Genomic DNA, 21,735 nt, shown 5'->3' on the forward strand with positions numbered 1-21,735 from the left:
TAGGTAAGAGAAAGAAAGAAAGGGCATCCAAACTGGAAAGGAGGAAGTTAAACTGTCTATGTTTACAGATGACACAGTACATAGAAAACCCTACAAATTCCACTAAAAAAAAACTATTAGAACTAATAAATGAATTCAGTCAAGTTGCAGGATATAAAATCAACAAACAAAAATCATTAGTGTTTCTATACACCAAATATTAATAGCAAACTATCTGAAAAATAAATCAAGAAAGCAATCCCATTTACAATACCTGCCAAAAAAAAAGAAATAAAATACTTAGGTATAAATTTAACCAAGGATGTGAAAGATCTCTACAATGAAAACTATAAAATATTGAAAAAAATTGAAGACACACAAAAAATGGGAAGATACCCCATGTTCACAGATTGGAAGAATTCGTATCTTTTAAAAGTCCGTTAAAATTTGTATGGAGGCTGGGCACAGTGACTCATGCCTGTAATCCCAGCACTTTGGGAGGCCGAGGCAGGTGGATCACCTGAGGTCAGGAGTGCGAGACCACCCTGGCCAACATGGCGAAACCCCATCTCTACTAAAAATACAAAAATTAGCTGAGGATAGTGGCAGGCACCTGTAGTCCCGGTTACTCGGGAGGCTGAGGCAGGAGGATCTCTTGAACCCAGGAGGTGGAGGATGCAGTGAGCCAAGATCGCGCCACTCCACTCCAGCCTAGGTGAGAGAGTGAGACTCTGTCTCAAAAAAAAAAAAAAAAAAAAATATATATATATATATATATATATATTAAGACCCCAAAGAGCCAAAGCAATCTTGCGTCAAAAAAACAAAGCTAGAGGCATCAATCTTACCTGACTTCAAAATATACTACAAAGCTATAGTAAGCAAAACAGTAGAGTACTGACATAAAAACACACAGACAAATGGAACAGAAAAGAGAACACACTTACAGTCAACTGATTTTTGACAAAGGCGCCAAGAACACACACTGGGGAAAGGACAGTCTCTTCAATGAATGGTGTTCAGGAAAACTGGATATCCACATGCAGAAAAACGGAGGTAGACCCTATCTCTCACCACTTAGAAAAATCAACACAACTGCGAGCTGGGCCTGGCCGCCCTGCGGGAGCCATGGCGGCCTCGGAGGCGGTGGCGGCGGCGGGGTCCACGGCTCTGGCGGCGGGTGCCCGCGCCGTCCCGGCGGCCACGAGAGGAGCCTCCGCCGCCGCCTCGGGCCCGTGGGTGCCCCCGGGACCCCGACTGAGGGGCAGCCGGCCGCGGCCCGCGGGGGTGACGCAGCAGCCCGCGGCCTCCGTGCTGGCGGGGGAGCTGATCCAGCAGTAGGTGAGCGAGCTGTCCCAGACCACATGGCCCAACATCCTGTGCACCGTGCGCGGCTGCCGCAAGATCCTGCCCAACAGCCCCGCGCTCAACATGCACCTGGTCAAGAGCCACCGCATGCAGTATAGCACAGTCAATCCAATAATAAGAAAAGATTTGAAAACTGTACCGAAATTCTACTGTTGTCCAATCGAAGGCTGCCCCAGAGGCCCTGACAGACCATTTTCTCAGTTTTCTCTCGTAAAACAGCACTTTATGAAAATCCATGCTGAGAAGAAGCACAAATGTAGCAAGTGCAGCAATTCGTACGGTACAGAATGGGACCTGAAAAGACTTGCAGAGGACTGTGGCAAGACCTTCCGGTGCACATGCGGCTGTCCCTACGCCAGTAGAAAAGCATTGCAGTCTCACATCTACCGAACTGGCCACGAGATCCCTGCAGAACACAGGGACCCACCTAGTAAGAAAAGGAAAATGGAAAACTGTGCAAAACCAGAAGTTATCCAACAAGACCACTGAATCATTTAACAACCAACCAATCCCTAGACCAGACACCCAAGAACTAGAAGCTTCAGAAATAAAGCTAGAACCATCTTTTGAAGACTCTTGTGGCTCTAACACTGACAAGCAGACTCTTTCTTACAACATCACCGAGATAGCCTCAAAAGTTGCTTTTACCAAAGCCCAAAGTGGCTTTGCTTAAACTACCCGTGATGCAGTTTTCTCTCATGCCTGTCTTTGTGCCTACAGCCGACTCCTCAGCCCAGCCTGTGGTGTTAGGTGTTGATCAGGGCTCTGCCACAGGGGCTGTGCACTTACTGCCTGCCCTTGTCAGTAGGAACCCTGATCCTCGGCCTAGATTCAGAGGCTTGCTCTCTTAAAGAGAGCCTACTTCTTTTCTAAATTGCTGATCCTGTTGCTGTTGAGCCAATAAGTACTGGTGTTCAAGTGAACTTGGGTAAAAGTCCATCTAATACTTTACAAGAACTAGGGAACACATGTCAGAAGAACGGCATTTCTTCAATCAACGTGCAGACAGATCTGTCTTATGCCTCACAAAACTTTATACCTTCTGCACAGTGGGCCACCGCTGATTCCTCTGTGTCGTCTTGTTCTCAAACTGATTTGTTGTTTGATTCTCAAGTGTCTCTTCCCATTAGTGTTCACACTCAGACATTTTTGCCCAGCTCTAAGGTAACTTCATCTATAGCTGCTCAGACTGATGCATTTATGGACACCTGTTTCCAGTCGGGTGGGGTCTCCTGAGAAACTCAAACCAGTGGGATACAAAGTCCAACGGATGACCATGTACAGATGGACCAAGCTGGAATGTGCAGAGACATTTTTGAGTGTTCATTCATCATATAATGTTGCTACAAGTAACATTATAAGCAACAGTTTAGTAGCAGAGATAGTAACTCATAGTTTGTTACCTCAGAATGAGCCTAAGACTTTAAATCAAGAGATTGAGAAATGTGCACCAATTATAAACTTCAGTGCACAGAACAGTATGCTTCCTTCACAGAACATGACAGATAATCAGACCCAAACCATAGATTTATTAAGTGATTTGGAAAACATCTTGTCAAGTAATCTGCCTGCTCAGACATTGGATCATCATAGTCTTTTGTCTAACACAAATCCTGGACCTGACACCCAGCTCCCATCTGGCCCAGCCCAGAACCCTGGAATCAATTTTGATATTGAAGAGTTCTTTTCGGCCTCACATATCCAGACTCAAACTGAAGAGAGTGAACTTAGCACCATGAACACTGAGCCAGTCTTGGAGTCACTGGACACAGAGACTCAAACGGACTTCTTACTCGCAGATACCTCTGCTCAGTCCTATGGGTGTAGGGGAAATTCTAACTTCTTAGGCCTTGAGATGTTTGACAGACAAACACAGACAGACTTAAACTTTTTCTTAGACAGTAGCCCTCATCTGCCTCTGGGAAGTATTCTGAAACACTCCAGCTTTTCCATGAGTACTGATTCATCTGACACAGAGACACAAACTGAAGGAATCTCCACTGTTAAAGATATACCTGCTCTAGAAAGCAAAGTTCAGTTGAACAGTATAGAAACACAGACCATGAGTTCTGGGTTTGAAACCCTGGGGAGCTTGTTCTTCACCAACAACGAAACTCAAACAACAATGGACGACTTTCTTCTGGCTGATATGGCCTGGAACATGATGGAGTCTCAGTTCAGCTCTGTAGAAACCCAGACTTCTGCGGAACCACACACAGTCTCCAACTTCTAAAACTAACAGTGGAGTCCATGTGTGAGACGGCATCTACCATTTCCTCTGGATTAAAACTACGGACGGGGGACAACAGTATTAATTCGATTGAATGTGGCTGATGATGCAGTTGCTTAGCTTCTTTGCAGTTCTTTGCCTTTTGTACTTGTAAACAGAAATTTGTGTATAAATGTGAGTGTATTATAAAGTTTGAGATGTTGATCTAAAAAAAAAGAAAAATCAACACAAAATGGGCTAAATGTAATACCTGAAATTATGAAACTACTAGAAGAAAACATAGAGAAAATGCTTCATAATACTGGTCTTCTGGGCAAAGATTTTTTGGATAAGACCACAAAAGCAATAAAAGCAAAAACAGACAAATGGAATTACATCAAACTAAAAATCCATCAAACTAAAAATGTCTTCACAGCAAAGAAAATAACAGCGTGAAGAGACAACCTACAGAATGGGAGAAAATATTTGCAAACTATGCATCTGAGAAGGTGTTAATATCCAGAATATATTATATAAGGAACTCAAACAGCTCAATACCAAAACAAAACAAAAAACAAAACAAAACAAAACAAAGCAAAACAAAACAAAGCAAAACAAAAAAACCTGATCTTTTAAATGGTCAAAGGGACCTGAACCAACTTTTCTTCAAAGAAGACAAACAAATGGCTAGCAGTTATTTGAAACAATGCTCAACATCAGTAATCATCAGGGAAATACACATCAAAACCACAATAAGAGAGGATCATCTGAGGCCAGAGTTTGAGACCAGCCTAGGCAACAGAGCAAAACCCCATCTGTACAAAATAAAAAATTAGCCAGGCAGGATGGCGCATGCCTGTAGTCCTGGCTACTTAGGAGGCTACAGCAGGAGGATCTCTTGAGCCCCGGAGGTTGAGGCTACAGTGAGCTATGATCACGCCACTCATTCCAGCCTGGGCAACACAGTGAGACCCTGTATCAATTAAAAAAAAAAAAAAAAAGAGTACAATGGCTGTTGCCAGGGGCTGGCAGGAGGGGAAATTGAGAGGTGATAGTTAAAGGTACAAAGTTTCAGTCCTAAAAGAGAAGTAAATTTTGGAGATCTACTATATTGCATAGTGCCCATGGCTAACAATATTATGCTGTATAGTAAAAATGTACTAAAAGAGTAGAGCTTATATTAAGTGTTCTTACCATACACAAAAAAATAATAACAAAACAGGCAGGGGGAACTTTGGGAGGTGATGGGTATGTTTACAGTTTTGATGGTGGTGATAACTTCATGGGTATATACTTATCCACAAACTCATTGAGTTCTATAGATTAAATATGTACAACTTTTTATATATCAATCATATCTCAATAAAGTGATTTTAAAAATCAAAACAAACCTTTTACATCTGAAAATATCAAGGATCTACTGCACAATATATTAAAACCTCTCTATCACACTCCAATTTAAAATGACTAAGGATCATGACCTAGACACACTAATTAAATGTAACAAGAGGTTTCATTGCCTGAAAAATAGAAAAGTAGTAAAGAGACAGATCCTCAAATGTCATGTCTTTGGATGACAAGGAAAACTTTGAAGAAATAGGTGGAAAAACTCAACAGATCTGAAAATAAATGTTGTCTTTAAAAATAATTATGTGGTTTTTATTTTAAAAAATTTATTGATATGTTCCCATACCAAATCCACAGAGCTTTGTTAGGCTTTTTTTTTTAATCTAAGGGTAATTAATTTGAATTTTCCAACAGGGTTTCAGTAAAGCATAAATGAGGAAATTACATATATCTAATGGATTAGAATATTTCAAGTGTATGGATTTCGATATGAAGACAGAAAGTGGAGAAAAGGCAGGTAAGGTGTATTCAGTTAGCCAAACAAACACAGTCATGTGTTGGGACAATATTGGGCTGGCTTTACACCTAGAGTATACACCAAAATAAAGAACATCAAACATGAACACTGACATTCACACTCAAGATAGTCACAACTGGATTGAAGCGGGCTAGCTCTCATCTACAGAATACCTTTGATATGTCTAAAAATTTTCAAAATTGTAATGAAGTTCAAAGGCAACTCATGGCTTTTATATATTTAGGAATGGAGAAATGTCTCAGGACTCTGGTCAATCCTCTTGAAGAAACTCTTAAAATCTCTTTCATTTCAAACAATAACATTAGTCATAGTCACTGAACTTAAAATACAAACTAAAACTGCAGAGTGAGAAGTGTTACATAGTACAGCAGACTAAGTGGAGCACTTAACCCAGATTTGGGGTGTTGAGGAAAGTTTCCAGAAAAAGAGACCTGACACTGAGAACTGAACCATATGTGGGGGCTCACCAGGGGAACAGCAGACTGAGGCAAGAGGGACTTTCAGCAAAGTGTAGACTAACAATACAAAAGGCAATTGTTTAGAATCCTGCCCAAATCAGGGATGCCTCCTTTCTCTAGGCATCTACACTGACTTATAATAATGGAGATAAACATTTTAGGGCATCTAGAGATAGAGGCCAGCCAAAGGAATACACTACTCGTGCTTTTATATTTTGATCTCACCATTTTTTATCCCTCTGCTGGTGACTGGCCCACCTACATAGCATCTTCCCTCCCTCTCTCCGTCCCTCTCTTCCTTCCTTTCCCAAGGTTTTCAGGAAACCCGCTTTCTTAGAAGGAGATACAGATGCCCACAACTTCTGTTGGCATGTCTGGGCAACTGCTTCCAAATGAATGCTGACTCTTGTTACCTCTTCTGGAGAGAAAGGAAAGGCTGTGGTGTTATCTAATTACCTCCATTACTTTATTTGTGTAAGATTCATCAGACAGGCTCTCTACTTTGTAATAAAAACATTAAAACAACACCAAGCATAACTTCTACAAAAGGATTTCTCAAAAGAACCTGACAACTATTACATGTTTTCTCTCTTTGTAGAAATATGTATAATGTATTTTTTGGAAGAGGGGCACACAGATCTGAGTGTGGTTTACTAATGGACAAAATGTCACAATAAAATTTCTCGCTTCTCACAAGAAAGGAAAGCATCATGATATGTTAAGTGTGAGGGGGACTTCTGGCTATAAAAGTACATTTTACCAAGACTGTCACCCTGCTCAAGCAAGTAGTAGATGGATTTAAAAGGACTTTACAAAACAGAGTAAGGACTCTGGACTTTATTCTAAGAGCAAAGGTAAGTCACTGGAGGATTTTTAGCATTAAAGTGATATACTCAGATTTCTGTTTCAGAAAAATCACACAAGCAATATAGAAAATGGACCACCAGGGGAGACAAGATCATACTGTAAGATGGAAGACCATCTTACAGTAACTGAGGCCTAGTCTAGTCACATGAAGGAATAGAGAAAAGCACCCAGATAAGAGATGCTTATCAGGGAGAACACATAGTATTTAGTATTTAGATCAGACATAGTAAAAAAAAGGAATAGAGAGGAGGTAAAGATGTTGCTTAGGTTTCTGATTAGAGAACTAGATGTGTTATGCCACCATACACTGAAAGGGGCAACAAAGGAGTAGGAACATACTTGGATAAAAAGATAGGCTCAGCTTAGGGCATGGTGAGTACAAGAGACCTGGGGCATCTAAATGAAGAGGTCCAATAGGCAGTGGGTATGTGAGGAAGAGGTTAGGAAACAGGCCTGAGCTGAAGACATAGATGTAGAAACATCAACAGAGAGACAGTAACTAAAGCTATGGAAATGGATGAGATAACCCAGGGAGGATGAGAAAAGGTCTGGGCCAAGGACAATAGAGATATGGGAGCAAAGGATGGCTCAGCTGGCCTGTGAACATTCAATTGAAGAAAACGTCTTGTACCCAGGGAGAAGTAGCATGAGTTCTGCTGAGATCAATTAGCAGACCTGTAGCCCACCCATTCTGTTCTTAGCTGTCACTTCCAGGTTTAGTCTGCCATCTTCACAAAGACTACAGCCATCCAAAATAAATAAAAGCAGTCAAAACCAACTGGCAAAATCATTGTTCTAGTTTTATTTAGTAGATTTGAAGCGGATACCATCTGTGCAGCCAAGTAATATACAAATACAAGAAATCAATCTTGTACCACAAACGCAATCCAAAAGCCATATCAGGACAGCACAGACATACAGTAACATCAGACAGAATTTCAAAGTGCTATAAAACACAATGATTCTACTTTTTGGTTGCAGGCTTTAAAAATACTACGGTATATATGGTTTTAAGATCCTAAATTGCAGTCATGTTCTTAAGCTAGTTTGTTTTTCTATTTAAGTGTTGACAGACAAAAAATACAGTTTTAGTCTAACACACCATTTACCTTACTTTTAACTTTATTTGAGCCTTAAGGGTACTCTTGCAAAGCAACAAAAATGTGCAGAACCGAGGTCAATTAATAACTAGTTTTGAAAATCTACTGAACTTTTAACTGCACAATATCAAAATCCCTATAATTTGTAATGAGCAATAAGAAAACTTGAAATTTTTCCAGCTTTGTCTAGGATTTCCTCAAAGATGAAGAACATATTATTTTAAGAAACTGTATGTGGTTCCTCTGTATGTCACATATATAGTTCTTTACTAACAGTGACTCTATTGCTAGATACCCACATGTAGACTACATTTTAGTAAAAAGGTTCCAAATTCAGTACTGAAACCGTTATCCACATCTAACCGCCTTCTTGGAGCAAAACCTTGTTTTCTAAGCCCCAGAATAGGTTTTATCCCTTAGTCAATACTTAACCCTCTGTCAAATAAAAGTTACTAATGGTATCACAAATATACTGTATCTCTGCGGCCCTGCAGTGGCTCACACCTGTAATTCCAGCACTTTGGGAGGCTGAGGAAGGAGGATCGCTTGAGTCCAGGAGTTCGAGACCAGCCTGGGCAATATAGTGAGACCTCAGCTCTACAAAACATCAAAAAATTAGCCAGACATGGTGGCGCATGCCTGTGGTTCCAGCTACACGGGAGGCTGAGGTGGGAGAATTGTTTAAGCCTGGGAGGTCGAGGCCATAGTGAGCCATGTCCGCATCACTGCACTCCAGGCAGGGAGACAGAGTGAGACCCTGTCTCAAATGCATGCGCACACACACACACACAAAATGGTATCTCTGTATACTCAAAACTCATCTCCTCAAAGTCTGTCCATTTCTATCCATCATTGACTGGCAATGTATGTGTCATGGATGTCACACTTTTTACTATCAGAACTCCCAGAAGTAGGGACTTTATCAGTCATTTCTTTGTAAGGGTCTACACACAAAAGCCACTTGATATTAGCGGCCAGCCAATTCTATGGTCTCCCAAATATAGGGAATAAAAAAGGAAATAAGTTCCTTAATATCTTGTTTTATATTTGAAATTCAGCAAGTATCGTATTTACCCCCACCTTCCTCACCTCAGCCTTCTATCTCCATCCACTGAAAAACTGGATCATGAAATTTAAGCAGAAGGGAAATCTGGTAATGGTAAGATTAAGAAAAGGGAAGAAGTCTGAAGAATCCAAAATATGGAGGAGAAAATAAGAAAGAATGATCCAAGTAAAAGACTAAAAGGAAAATTTAAGCCAAAAATAATAAAAAGGAATAAAATACATAATAAAATACCTGATAAGGCAATGTCAGGTGATAACCAAGAAAAAGAAGTCTGTAGGAAATAAATACAATTTCTTTTTTTTTTTTTTCAGACAGTCTCGCTCTGTCGCCCAGGCTGGAGTGCAGTGGCACGATCTCGGCTCAATGCAGCCTCCGACTCCTGGGTTCAAGCAATTCTCTTGCCTCAGCCTCCTGAGTAGCTGGGATTACAGGCAACTGCCACCACGCCTGGCTAATTTTTTTTTGTATTTTTAGTAGAGACGGAGTTTCTCTTGCTCAAGTTGATCCCTAAACCACAAATGACAGGACAACTGACAATTTTAAAATCCCAGTCCAGGGATATGTGGTTATCCCACCCTGGTACTTGTTACACCAAATATTACTGCTGACTTGGGGTGCTCCCACGTCAGAATGAGAGGACCACCATCATTTACACTAGCTGCCAAGAGACACATCAGCGACTGGGGGCTGGAAAGAGAGCCAGTGGCAAAGATAACTCCGCAGCAGGCCAAGGGCTGCACAAAATAAGTCTGGTATTGAGGTTAAAATTAAACGAAATGAAAGAGAAATAAGACAGGGGAGGATGAGAAGAACAAATACAGCATGAGAGTGGGCTCTTTCTATGTAGAAGGAAGGCAAACATCTGCAATTATTTGGTGGTGAGTGCCACCAAATTTAAGACTTTGTTCCTCGCTTGCAATTATTTCTCGGTTAAGACCACACAAAGAAAAAAAGAGACCTAAAGGCTAAAATGATGAAAAGTGGCTAAAGTCAGTATAACAATAACCATCAAAACACACACACACACACACACACACACACACAAAATTGTTAAAGTAACAGAGGAGTTAACAGTGCATGAAGAATATTCCTGACTGACTCAGAAAGATGTTCATCATAAATTCTTAAGTCAAATAAGGAAGCTGCAGAAAAATATTTATAATATCATAACATTTTTGTACAAAATATTTATATGTGTAAGTACAGGAAGTCTTCAAAAATAAGTGCTGGTGCTATGAGGGATTTGTTGGGGTTTTTTGTTTTTTTTGGTTCTGGGTTTTTTTTAGACAAGGTCTTGTTCTGTCGCCCAGGCTGGAGTGCAGTGGCATGACTGATTTAGGCTCACTGCAGCCTCAACCTCCTCCAAGCGATCCTCCCACCTCAGCCTCCCTAGTAGCTGGGACCACAGGCATGCACCACCATGCCCAGCTAATTCTTTTTTTCTAGAGCTGAGGTCTCACTATGTTGCCCAGGCTGGTCTCAAACTCCTGGACTCAAGTGATCCAAAGTGCTGGGATTACAGGCGTGAGTTGCCATGCCCTGCCTGGGATTTGTTGTTGTTGCATTTTTTCCCTGTGTTTTTCAATTTAATTGAAATAAAAATAACAACAGTTCTTTAAAATAAAAGAAAAAAGGCCTGGCGCGGTGGCTCACGCCTGTAATCCCAGCATTTTGGGAGGCCGAGGCAGGTGAATCACGAGGTCAGGAGATCCAGACCATCCTGGCTAACACGGTGAAACCCCATCTCCACTAAAAAAAAAAAAAAAAAAATTAGCCAGGCGCGGTGGCGGGCGCCTGTACTCCCAGCTACTCGGGAGGCTGAGGCAGGAGAATGGCAGGAACCCGGGAGGCGGAGTTTGCAGTGAGCAGAGATGGCGCCACTGCACTCCAGCCTGGGAGACAGAGTGAGACTCCATCTCAAAAAAAAAAAAAAAACAAAGAAAAAAACAAAAGAAAAAAGATCTTCTAAATCATTCAGTTTTTACCCTGAATTAAACATGTTTAATTTAATGAATTTGTAAACAATCCCTTTAATGCAGAGCCCAGCTTTAGGAGAGCTGCTCCCACGTGGTGGACAGAAGGGGTCACTGGCCAACCCTAGTTGCATTCTGGTAGAAAGAAACACAAGTTTTAAAGAAAAACGGAAAGGTCTGAACCCGGCGTCACTATTCACTAGTTCATTCAGTGAGCCAGGGCAAATGATGTGAAATTTCTGAGTGCCAACCTCGCTTCTCTTTGGGAGTGAAACAGAACCTACCTCAAAGGGCTGTTTTGAGGATTCTTGAGAACAGTTCCCACCTATGAAGACACAGCCTGGTGGGGTAGATTCCAGGAAATTCAGTGATCCTTCTGACCAAAATTATACTTTTTGTCATCTCAGGAAATAATCTGTTCCGAGAAATTCCAGAATGTAGGCCGCTTTCAGTGACCTGCCTTTAGCCTGTGAATCCTCAGACTCACCAGTGCTCAGTAGAGCAGTGGGGTTCTGACAGTTCCTTCTAAAGCACTTGTGCCTACCTCTTCCGGGAGAGCACAGCAACATTCAGCACAGCAAACCAGAGCAGCACGGCTCAGATATGAAGGCCTGCTTCCTGCAATTCTCTGTCCTACAAACATATCAGAAAGCCCAGTAGGGGTAAAAAACAGCTCTTCTAAGGGCCATACTGCAGAAGCATGGCCAAATGAATAGCATGATCACTGCAGACGCAGTTATAGACTCAGTATGCATATGACACTTTGGCAGAGTTTGCACTATAATGGCTGTTTACTTCTTAGTGTTGTTTTAAAACCTTGAAGATGTCCACTACAAATTCTAGTATTCCTAAGTATGTCTTGAACCTAAAAAAGTTCAGACCCACTGGACAAGAAAAAAAAGAGAGAGGGAGAGGTGTAAGGCAAGTATCTAGAATACGGTTGTACAGCCAGACTTTCTGCAAGGATGGAAAGGTTCTGGCTCTATCTGTCCATCCAATACTGCAGGCGCCAGCTGCATGTGGCTTCTGAACGCATGCAATATGGCTAATGAATCTGAGGAAGTGAATTTTGAATTTTATTTAATTTTAATTAATGTAAATTTATATAATTAAACGTACCTATTGACTATGGCATTGGTCAGCACAGATCTAGAACCTTGGGTTAATGACTTGTGCTAACTCACAAAGGGTGATATGCAGATGAGTGAGCTAAGTTCAAAAAGGGACCAGTCAAAAAGGAGAACACACGCGCACCAGCATCATGTTAATATTCTCTTGCAACGCATGCAGTTCACCTTTATGAAGCTGAGGTCCTAGCTTGACCTCAACCTGTCTTCGTCAGTTTAGGCTGCCATAACAAAATATCACATACATGGTGGCTTAAATAACAGAAATGTATTTTCTCACAATTCTGGAGGCTGTAAAGTCCACAATCAAGGCCTATTAGGTCCTGTTGAGAGCCCTCTTCCTGGCTTGTATGTAGGCAGCCACCTGTGTCCTCACATGACCTCTTCTTTGTGCTCATGTGGGGAGAGATCTCTCTCTCTACCTCTTCTTCTAAGGCCACCAATCCTACCAGATTAGGACCCCACCGGTATGACTTCCTAAAGGCTCCATCTCCAAATACAGTCCCATTGGGGGTTACAGCTTCAGCTTCAACTTATGAATGGGGGAGGGGTGGACACAATTCAGCCCATAACACAACCCTCTACTCTTCCTTAATTAGCTTTCTTGTAATGAGTTCCAATATGGAAGGGAAGAGATAATCACCAAAAATATTCTCAGAACGAAAAGACAGGAGTTTCCAGATTGAAAGGGCTGACCAAGTGCCCAAGAAAATGGATGAGAAGAGATCCACACCAGGCACATCATCATGAAATTGTAAAAACACAGGAAGGTAGAAGGAAATTAAACAATGCCTCACAATTCTAAAGGAAAATAATTTCCAACCTGGAATTCTTATCTAGACAAACTATCAATCAAATGTGACTAGAATAACTTCACATTCAACAGGCAGTGACTAGAAATAATTCATCTCCCACACATTCTGCTTTAGGAAGATACTAGAACATCTGCTTCACATCAAGAGGAGGGAGAAAACAAAGAAAGAAAATAAAGTAAACAGAAGACCCAATATCAAGAAAGGAGAGAAGGATGAATGACAGTGAAGGAAAATTCCAGGGCGACTGCAAAAAAGTTTTCAAACAGGAAAGGGAGGGGTTCTTTGTACCTGCCCAGATTTTCTTCTCAAAATATAACATTTTTAAAAACACCAAAAGAATTCAAAGAAACCTCCACAACCTCTTTAATTTTTTTTAAAAAAAAGGGGGCCAGGAGTGTTGGCTCACACCTGTGATCCCAGCACTTTGGGAGGCTGAGGGAGGAGATCATTTGAGCCCAGGAGTTCAAGACCAGCTTGGGCAACATGGGGAAACCCTGTCTCTACTAAAAACGAAAAAAAAAAAATAGGTGGGCGTGGTGGCGAGCGCCTGTAATCCCAGCTACTTTGGAGGCTGAGACACAAGAATCCCTTGAACCTGGGAGGCGGAGGTTGCAGTGAGCCAAGATCGTGCCACTGTACTGCAGCCTGGGCAACAGAGCAAGACTCTATCTCAAAAAAAAAAAAAAAAAAAAAAAAAAGGGAAAACAGAAGAAATAAGGCAGAGGTGAAGGCAATAGATGCAGTCTGTTGTGTCCTTTATGCTGATGGAAATAGCCAAAGTTCCTCTGAAAAAGGTATCACCATATCAACTATGTGCTTCCACAGTTACCAACTTCAGATTACAATATGGTACTTGACAATGCTTGGCTTCAATTCTCCTTATTAGAAAATTAACAGAATTTCAAAAGCAAGTTTAAACAAGAGAAATTCAACTGTTTTCTTTTGATAAATGCTGCCTCTCTAATAGAGCACTGAGGATCGCTTACAAACAGTCACTTAATTGCTCTATTATCCAATTTAGAGGTTTCCCCAAAAGTCCAACAAAAAAAAATTCAGTAAAGGCAAATGGAATTTAATGCAATTACCAATAAACAAGCAAAGAAAACAAAATCACCCCACACATACAGCCATGCACAAAGAATTAGGCCAAAGCCCAGTTATTCAGCACTTCCAGTGGACCCCTGCATGCTCTTAAATTTGGCAAACATCATAGAAGACTTAATTGGAAATCAGAGCACAGAAAGAAACTTTAGAAATGACTATATGGCCAAAATGATACCTCACCAGATGTCCCACTAAGTGGAAACTAAGAAGAAAAAAACAGATTAAGACTGGTACAGGTTTTGAATGCTTGTCCTACCTTGTCTAGATGAAAGACAGGACCACAAAAAAATGTGCTTCAAATCACTTTAGAATAAAATTCCTTCCCTAAATGCAGCATTCTAAAATGTCACACTAATACAATCCTTAAACAGCAACTATTTTTAGCATCCTTTTATTTTTTAATTGAACAATGCAACTGAGTTCCATTAACAGTTAATTCTTCCCAACTTTAATTCTAACAAACTCATTTAAGTTAAATGACCATCAAGAATAAAAGACTTATACTGTATTTTTGCATTCCTACAATTCAAAGGCAACAGGATCAAATGTTTTCAGGCTGTGAAAAGACACGCCATACTTCAGGTTAAAAGTATATTTTATTCCAAAATTAGGAGTGAAAATAAAGCTTGAAAAGAAATGACTTCTCAGCCTTGAATTTGGTGGCATTAATATTAATGACAATCCCACTCATCTCAAAGGCATTTCCTAGAGTGTTTATGTTATGAAAACTGGGTCTGGAATGTCATCTTCAGTAAATTTGAAATTGTTTAACCTGAGGTTTTGCTAGATTTGTAACAGCTGCACTGATGTTTACAACTGTAATAAGGTCTTTACAGCATGGCACTCCTTTACACATTTTTTAGATCTGGTTGGTACAAACATGTTGTACTGATCAACAAAAATGAGTTTGGTATCTCTCTATACCTACAAGTTTAGTCAGAATAAAGTTTTGTTTTGGATTAACATTGTACAATAAATGCATCAAGGACCTTCAGAAGTTTTATGGTATTGGTTACAGAAGAACAGGACAAAAACTTCCATTCATATACAAACATTTGGAAAATGACTCAGTTTGTGTTTGTGAAATTTGAATTTTGTTTGGGGAAAAGACATGCGTATCAAATACACTGTGGATCTAATTTGTTTGCTGGCATTCATTGAGGGTTTCAGGGCACATTACCAAGCAGAAACTGGTTGGGCAGTATTCAAAGATTACATTTCTCCTAATGCCCCTATTTACACAGTAGAAAGATGCAACCGAAAGCCTGCGAAAGACTTGCTTAACAATGCTTCCATAGGAAGCTTCAGCCCCCCTTGGACATCGAACTACTGGTGCAACAAAAAGAGCACCAGACAGGAGTTAGTTTCCCTGGGTAACAGCCAACAACCCTGCCATTAAACTCAGTTTCCTTCTCTCTAAACATTTCAAAGAGAAGTTATTATTTAAGGCAAATGTTTTCTGCTAAAATCAGTTGGGTTTGGGTAACCAGAAATACCCGGCTCTTTTGATTATTGAAAAGGTTATCATCTCATAACAATTAAGACACATTTAAAAGCTGTACACACACAATCAACCCAAGAAGTTCATCAGTAGCTATCCTCCTTTGGGCAATCTCTTGGGAATTCCTTAATTATGAGCCAAAGTAATTTTTTTGAAAAGTCTCCATTCTATTTTTCTTTTCTAATTTTTATTTATTTATTTAGTTTTTAGACACAGGGTTTCGCTCTGTCACCCAGGCTGGAGTGCAGTGGTATGATCATAGCTCACTGCACCCTCAACCTCCCAGGCTCAAGCGATCCTCCCACTTCAGCCTACAGTTGCATGTCACACTGTATGGGTCTACAGTTGCATGTCACCACGCCTGGATAATTTTTGTATTTTTTGTAGAGACAAGGTTTCGCCATGTTGCCCAGGCTCGTCCTGAACTTACGGGCTCAAGTGATCTGCCCACCTCTGCCTCCCAAAGTGCTGGGATTACAGGTGCTCAGCCCTGTTTTTCTTTTTTTAAAATGCCTATCTTACCTTAGCACATATGGTTATTGTGAGAATCCCATATAATCTATATGGAAATAATTTGGAAAGTACAAAGCACTTTTAATAGGGCTATTGCCCAAAGTAATGTTAGAAATAAATTAAGAAATCAAAAGAAGTAGTTAACAAAAAAAAACCATGCTTATAAAACCAACGTATTTGTATAAAATCAACAGAACAAAAAGCTCTGATTTATAAAGGGTATACAGTATCTTACTGCTCAAGAATAATAATAACCTTTTCTACAGATATGAAACTTAGAAGTCACCAGAGAACCCTGATTAATGCAGTAATTTCTCCAATAAGTATGACAAATTTGTTCTGATCTGTCCATTTTTTTCTAAGTGTTAGTTTAACAACTGAATGCATTTCAGAATTATTCAAAACTTAAATTACTTTAGACAAAGGTCATAAATTCAAAGTCCACAACAGATAAGTTAAATGAGTAAAGCAATTAGACAGGCTTGTGGTGAAAAACAGCAACTGTCCAAAGAAGATAGCCAGTAGGTATAGCTCAGTGGTAGAGCATTTGACTGCAAAGAAGACAGCCAGGATTTCACTCCTGCCAGTTGCTGCTGGAAGGGAACTCAGACTTGCTGTTGCCCAACTGCCTGTCTTAGTCTGTTTTGTGCTGCTATACCAGAATATGTGAGACTCAGTAGTTTACAAATAACAGAAATTTATCAGCTCCCAGTTCTGGAGGCTGGGAAGTCTAAGATTGAGGGGTCACATCGCAATGGAAGGCATCACACAGCGACAGAGCACAAGAGGGCCAAACTCGCTTTTATAACAAACCACTCCATGATAATATCAATCCATTCATGTACATCAGTAATACCTTAGAAACAATGTTTTTAAAATAACATGTAGTCATTTAGTCATAGCCACTTTGGCCACAAAACAATGTAACCAAAGGTGGTTCTGATCAAGTACCACAATATTTTCAAATACTTGTCCTATTCTCACCATTTTGCCTCAAAAACATACTTTTTTAAAAACTTATTTTTAAATTAAACATCTTAGGCTTAATTTTTTTTTCTTTTTTTTTTGAGATAGGGTCTTGCTCTGTCACCCAGGCTGGAGTGCAGTGGTGCAATCACAGATCACCGCTTTTTGTTTGTTTGTTTGTGCAATGGCCCAATCTCAGCTCACTGCAACCTCCCGAGTTCAAGCGATTCTTGTACTTCCACCTCCCAAGTAGCTGGGATTACAGGCACATGTCACCACACCCGGCTAGTTTTTTTTGTATTTTTATTAGAGACAGGTTTCACCCTGTTGGCCAGGCTGGAGTCGAACTCCTGACCTCAAGTGATCCACCCGCCTTGGCCTCCCAAAGTGCTGGGATTACAGGCAGGAGCTACCTTGCCCAGCCGACCTGCATCCTTGACCACCAGGACTCAAGTGATCCACCCGCCTCGGCCTCCCAAAGTGCTGCGATTACAGGCATGAGCCACCACGCCCGGCCTAGACTTAAATTATTTTAAAACCAAAAAGACAGTACAATTTTAGGCAAACATTAGATGGGTACAGCACACACGTGTAGAACTAAATGAAGATACCTGAAACTTTGATAGAATGAAACAAATTTCTAGCTTTTAATACCTTCAAAGGAATGTCACTACCAAAATTCAAGATATTTTTAAGGGCAGGCACAGTGTCTGCCTCATGCCTGTAGTCCCAGCTACTCAGGAGGCTCAGGTGGGAGGATCACTTGAGTCCAGGAGGGCAAGACTGCAACGAGTTATGATTGCACTACTGCACTCCAGCCTGGGGGACCGAGTGAGATGCATCTCGAAAAAAGAAAAAGATATTTGTATTGCACTTTTCTTGCTTACAACTACTCAATTTTAAGAAAAAATCAGTCATATTATACCATTTCATATAAAAATATTTCTGTTACTCCTAAAACTGGCTGCATAGTTTCAAAAAGTCACCACTTATCAAAATACTTATCATCAAGCAAAAGTTTCACTAGCTTTGCCAACTTTTTTAGTGTAATGACTAAAAATTCTAATGGTACTAGTCAGTATCAGAAACACAAGATACTCTTCTGGGTGCCAAATACTGCAGAAAATACTACTTCATAAATAAAATGCATGCTGTTATACCAATAATAAACGGTTACTCACTCTTACGGCCTATGATTGGAAATTCCTAGCTAACGGCTTCAAGCAAAAGCAGCAATTCGATATTATTTGTATAAATGTATATTTTATATAGTGTTTTATTATAATCTTTAATATGTAGGGGTAGATAGGCTAAGTAATCGTTACAATCCATGTTGGACAAGGTCATGTTTGGGTACACCAAATTCAGAAAGCTAGGGCTAAATATAACTGATTCCTTCAGACAAGTGTCTTACTAATCAATTACAATGTATAATCTGCATACATTGTAAATCACCAAATACACACTAAGAATTACAAAATTATACTATATCACCTAGGATGCCTTTGGTTTCCAGTAATTGAAAACCCAACTCTATTCATCAAGATAGGCTAAGTTATGATGTAGTAACTTTTTTCTGATACTATATGTCCAACATGTTATGTGGGACACACATGTTTGTGGGGTGGGGGTGTTGTTCTGCTCCACAGTCACTCATGGATCCAGCATGACAGGTGCTCAGACATCTCAACACCTAGCCTCCAGAATCACCATTGCAAAAAGAAGAGATAGCTAGGTCAGGAATCTGCTACTAAATGCTTCTACCTGGAAATAACCTGCTTAAAATCTATTGGCTAGAACAATCACAATGTCCTACCTAGCTGCAAGTGAACTGGGAAATGTGAGGGAAGATCTAAATATTTAGTAAGCATTAAATGCCCCTGCTGCACCAAGCAAAACCAGCTAAAACAATAATGGGAGGCCAGGCATGGTGGCTCACACCTCTCATCACAGCACTTTGGGAGACCCAGGCAGGAGGACAGCTTGAGGCTGGGAGTTCAAGACCAGCCTAGGTAACATAGCATGACTCTGTCTCTACAAAAATAATGATAATTAATTAGCCAGACATTGTGGTGCATACCTGTAGTCCTAGTTACTCAGGTGGCTGAGGTGGCATGATTCCTGGAGCCCAGGAGTTTGAGGCTGCAGTGAGCTATGTTCGTGCCACTGCACTCCTGGTTGACAGGGCAAGACCCTGTTTCAAAAGAGAAAAAAAAAAAAGGAGGGGGGGAATTCGTTGGTTCAAGAAACTGGCAAGTCCAGAAACAGGGCAGACTTCACAGTTGATCTGTCTCTCCATCCTGCTTCCCTCATGATAGCAAAACAGCTTTAGCCATTACAGAAGTCACATCACATCCATACCACCCAAAAATAGAGTACATACTTCTGTTCCAGCATCCCAAGTAAGAGACAGACCTCAGATGTATTCAGACTGGACTTGCTTGAGCTTATGCCCATCCTTAACCAATGACTGTGACGAATCAATAAAACACACTCCTTAAACCAATAAAAGTCCACCCCCAGGAGCTAGAGGTAGTATCAGTGTTCCCCAGAGCCCATAGAATAGTGACTACTAAAAGAAAATCTAGGGTCTGTTATGACAGAGAAGGGAGGAAAGGATGTTGGCACTCAACAAACATCAATGCAGTTATATAATAAAAAAGAATATACCCTGAAGAAGTTGGCTAAGAGTTGTGGAAACAAGCATATACACATAAGGCAATAATATGAACTGCAGTGCACAAAGACAGAGGAAAAGTCATTATGCATAACCACAAATGGTCATCAATAAATCAGGCGTTGGCCAGGAGCGGTGGCTCACGCCTGTAATCCCAGCACTTTGGGAGGCCAAGGCAGGCGGATCACGAGGTCAGGAGATCAAGACCATCCTGGCTAACACGGTGAAACTCCGCCTCTAACAAAAATACAAAAAATTAGCTGGGCGTGGTGGTGGGCTCCTGTAGTCCCAGCTACTCAGGAGGAGAATGGTGTGAACCCGGGAGGCAGAGCTTGCAATGAGCCGAGATCGCGCCACTGCACTCCAGCCCGGGAGACAGAGTGAGATTCCGTCTCAAAAAAAAAAAAAAAAAAAAAATCAGGAGTTAATAAGGAAATCTATTGAGTACAGCACTTGAATGTACAAGCATAATTACAAAAATAGGATTAGGCTAAGTACAATGCCTTATAATGTTATAGCTTTAAGTAAACAGTAACAACCAACAAAAACAAAATGACAACAAAAAGGAACCAGCCATAGGAGGGTGTTGGAAGTCACTAAGGTAAATGGCACCTCCAAAATCTTATAAAAGAAGCAAAAGTGTCTGGCAATTCCATACCTTTGAACTGAACCAGGTAAAGAAGGAATCACAGACATAAAGTCATAGCCTTTTATTTATTTATTTTTTTCCCTGGAGATAGGGTCTCACAATTTTGCCCAGGAGACTTGAACTCACAATCTTCCAGCCTCAGCCTCTCAAATAGTTGGGACTACAGGTGCACAGCACTGCACCCAGCCAAATTCATATTGTTTAAATAGTCTCCTCTGAATCTGTGTGTGTGTGTGTGTGTGTGTGTGTGTGTGTGTGAAAAACCGCAGCCTCAAACTGTCTTATGGGTAGTCACCAGAGTAACAGATCTCAGATTCCACTAAAATAGCTAAATGTATATAAAATGTTTATATCACACATAAATGTTTCTGAATTACAAAAGCATCATTGGGGCTCTAGAGGAAAATGAAAACACAAGTCCCAGAAATCTGAAAAATGAAAAACAGGGGTGAAAGATAATGAGAAGTACAGTCACATCTAAAGTCAGGTCATCTGGGAACCCTGCCCACTGGATGCCATAAGGTCGACCACAGTTCTAATCCTGTCCTCTTCTCCTCCCCTCCTAATCTCTGACCCCACTTTCCATGATAATCTATACTGTTTCTAATTTGCAAAGGCATGGAAAGGCAGTTTCATCACTTCATAAAAGCCTACATACTCTCACACAAACGTGTCTTTCGTCATGTGGAAGTGGGAGAAACCTTAGGATTAACTTTCACAATTCAAGAAAATGAACAGACTAAATACTCTCACCACTCATGATTTCTTGAGGAAGTTCAGAGCAAAGGTGATAAATCAGTCTGGGTCCAGTCAGTAAAAAGAAACCACATAATAATTTGAATAAGGAAAGTCAACTATAAATAATTACTGTTGTTGTTGTCATTTTCTTTTTTAGAGAGAGGGTCTCACTCTGTTGCCCAGGCTGGAATGCAATGGTATAATCATGGCTCCAAGCAGCCTCAACCTCCTGGGCTCAACGATCCTCCCACATCAGCCTCCGTAGTAGGTGGGACACACACCACTCCCAGATAATTTCGTGTTTTCTGTAGAACAGGGGTTTTGCTATGTTGCCCAGGCTTGTCTCAAACTCCTAGTCTCAAGTAATTCTCCCAAGCCCTGCGGCCTCGCAAAGTGCTGGGATTACAGGCATAAGTCACCATGCCCAGTCAAGAACTATTCACTGTAACAGGACTGGAGTAACAAGGTGCTGGCTAGTAAGAAGTACAGAGAATTCTACAAAACACAGGAATAGGAGATATAAGGAGGAGCCACTGCCCCTAGGGCTGAGGTGGGTGCCCTAAGGAAAAATACCCACTTCTTCCCAGAAATGGGATCAAGAACTTTTTGGAGGGAGCACAGCCATGGCTCACTGAATACGAGAGATGTCTCTGTGGGTGCTGTACCAGTACAACTTGCTGGAAAACCACCTTTGGTAACTTGCCAGAAACCCATCCTCTAGGGCGCCAGGAAAAGTGTTC

General features: G+C 40.8%; 1 protein-coding gene and 1 pseudogene across 17 annotated transcripts in view; one reads left to right on the forward strand and one right to left on the reverse strand.

The window, feature by feature from the left end:
• The window catches only part of FANCC (FA complementation group C), a 218,656-nt gene that overhangs the window by 192,177 nt on the left and 4,744 nt on the right, over positions 1–21,735 (reverse strand). For 2 of the 17 annotated variants that reach the window (XM_047422952.1, XM_047422948.1), the window contains exon 1: positions 1,487–1,774. The exons of the other annotated variants lie outside the window; for them this stretch is intronic. The gene's annotated coding sequence lies outside the window, so the exon portion shown is untranslated. Of the gene's footprint in view, positions 1–1,486; positions 1,775–21,735 lie in introns of those variants that run through there. 17 annotated transcript variants of the gene reach the window in all.
• On the forward strand, positions 1,079–3,777 carry ATMINP1 (ATMIN pseudogene 1; annotated as a pseudogene).

Source organism: Homo sapiens, chromosome 9 (assembly GCF_000001405.40).
Source record: "Homo sapiens chromosome 9, GRCh38.p14 Primary Assembly".
Classification (NCBI taxonomy): Eukaryota; Metazoa; Chordata; class Mammalia; order Primates; family Hominidae; genus Homo; species Homo sapiens.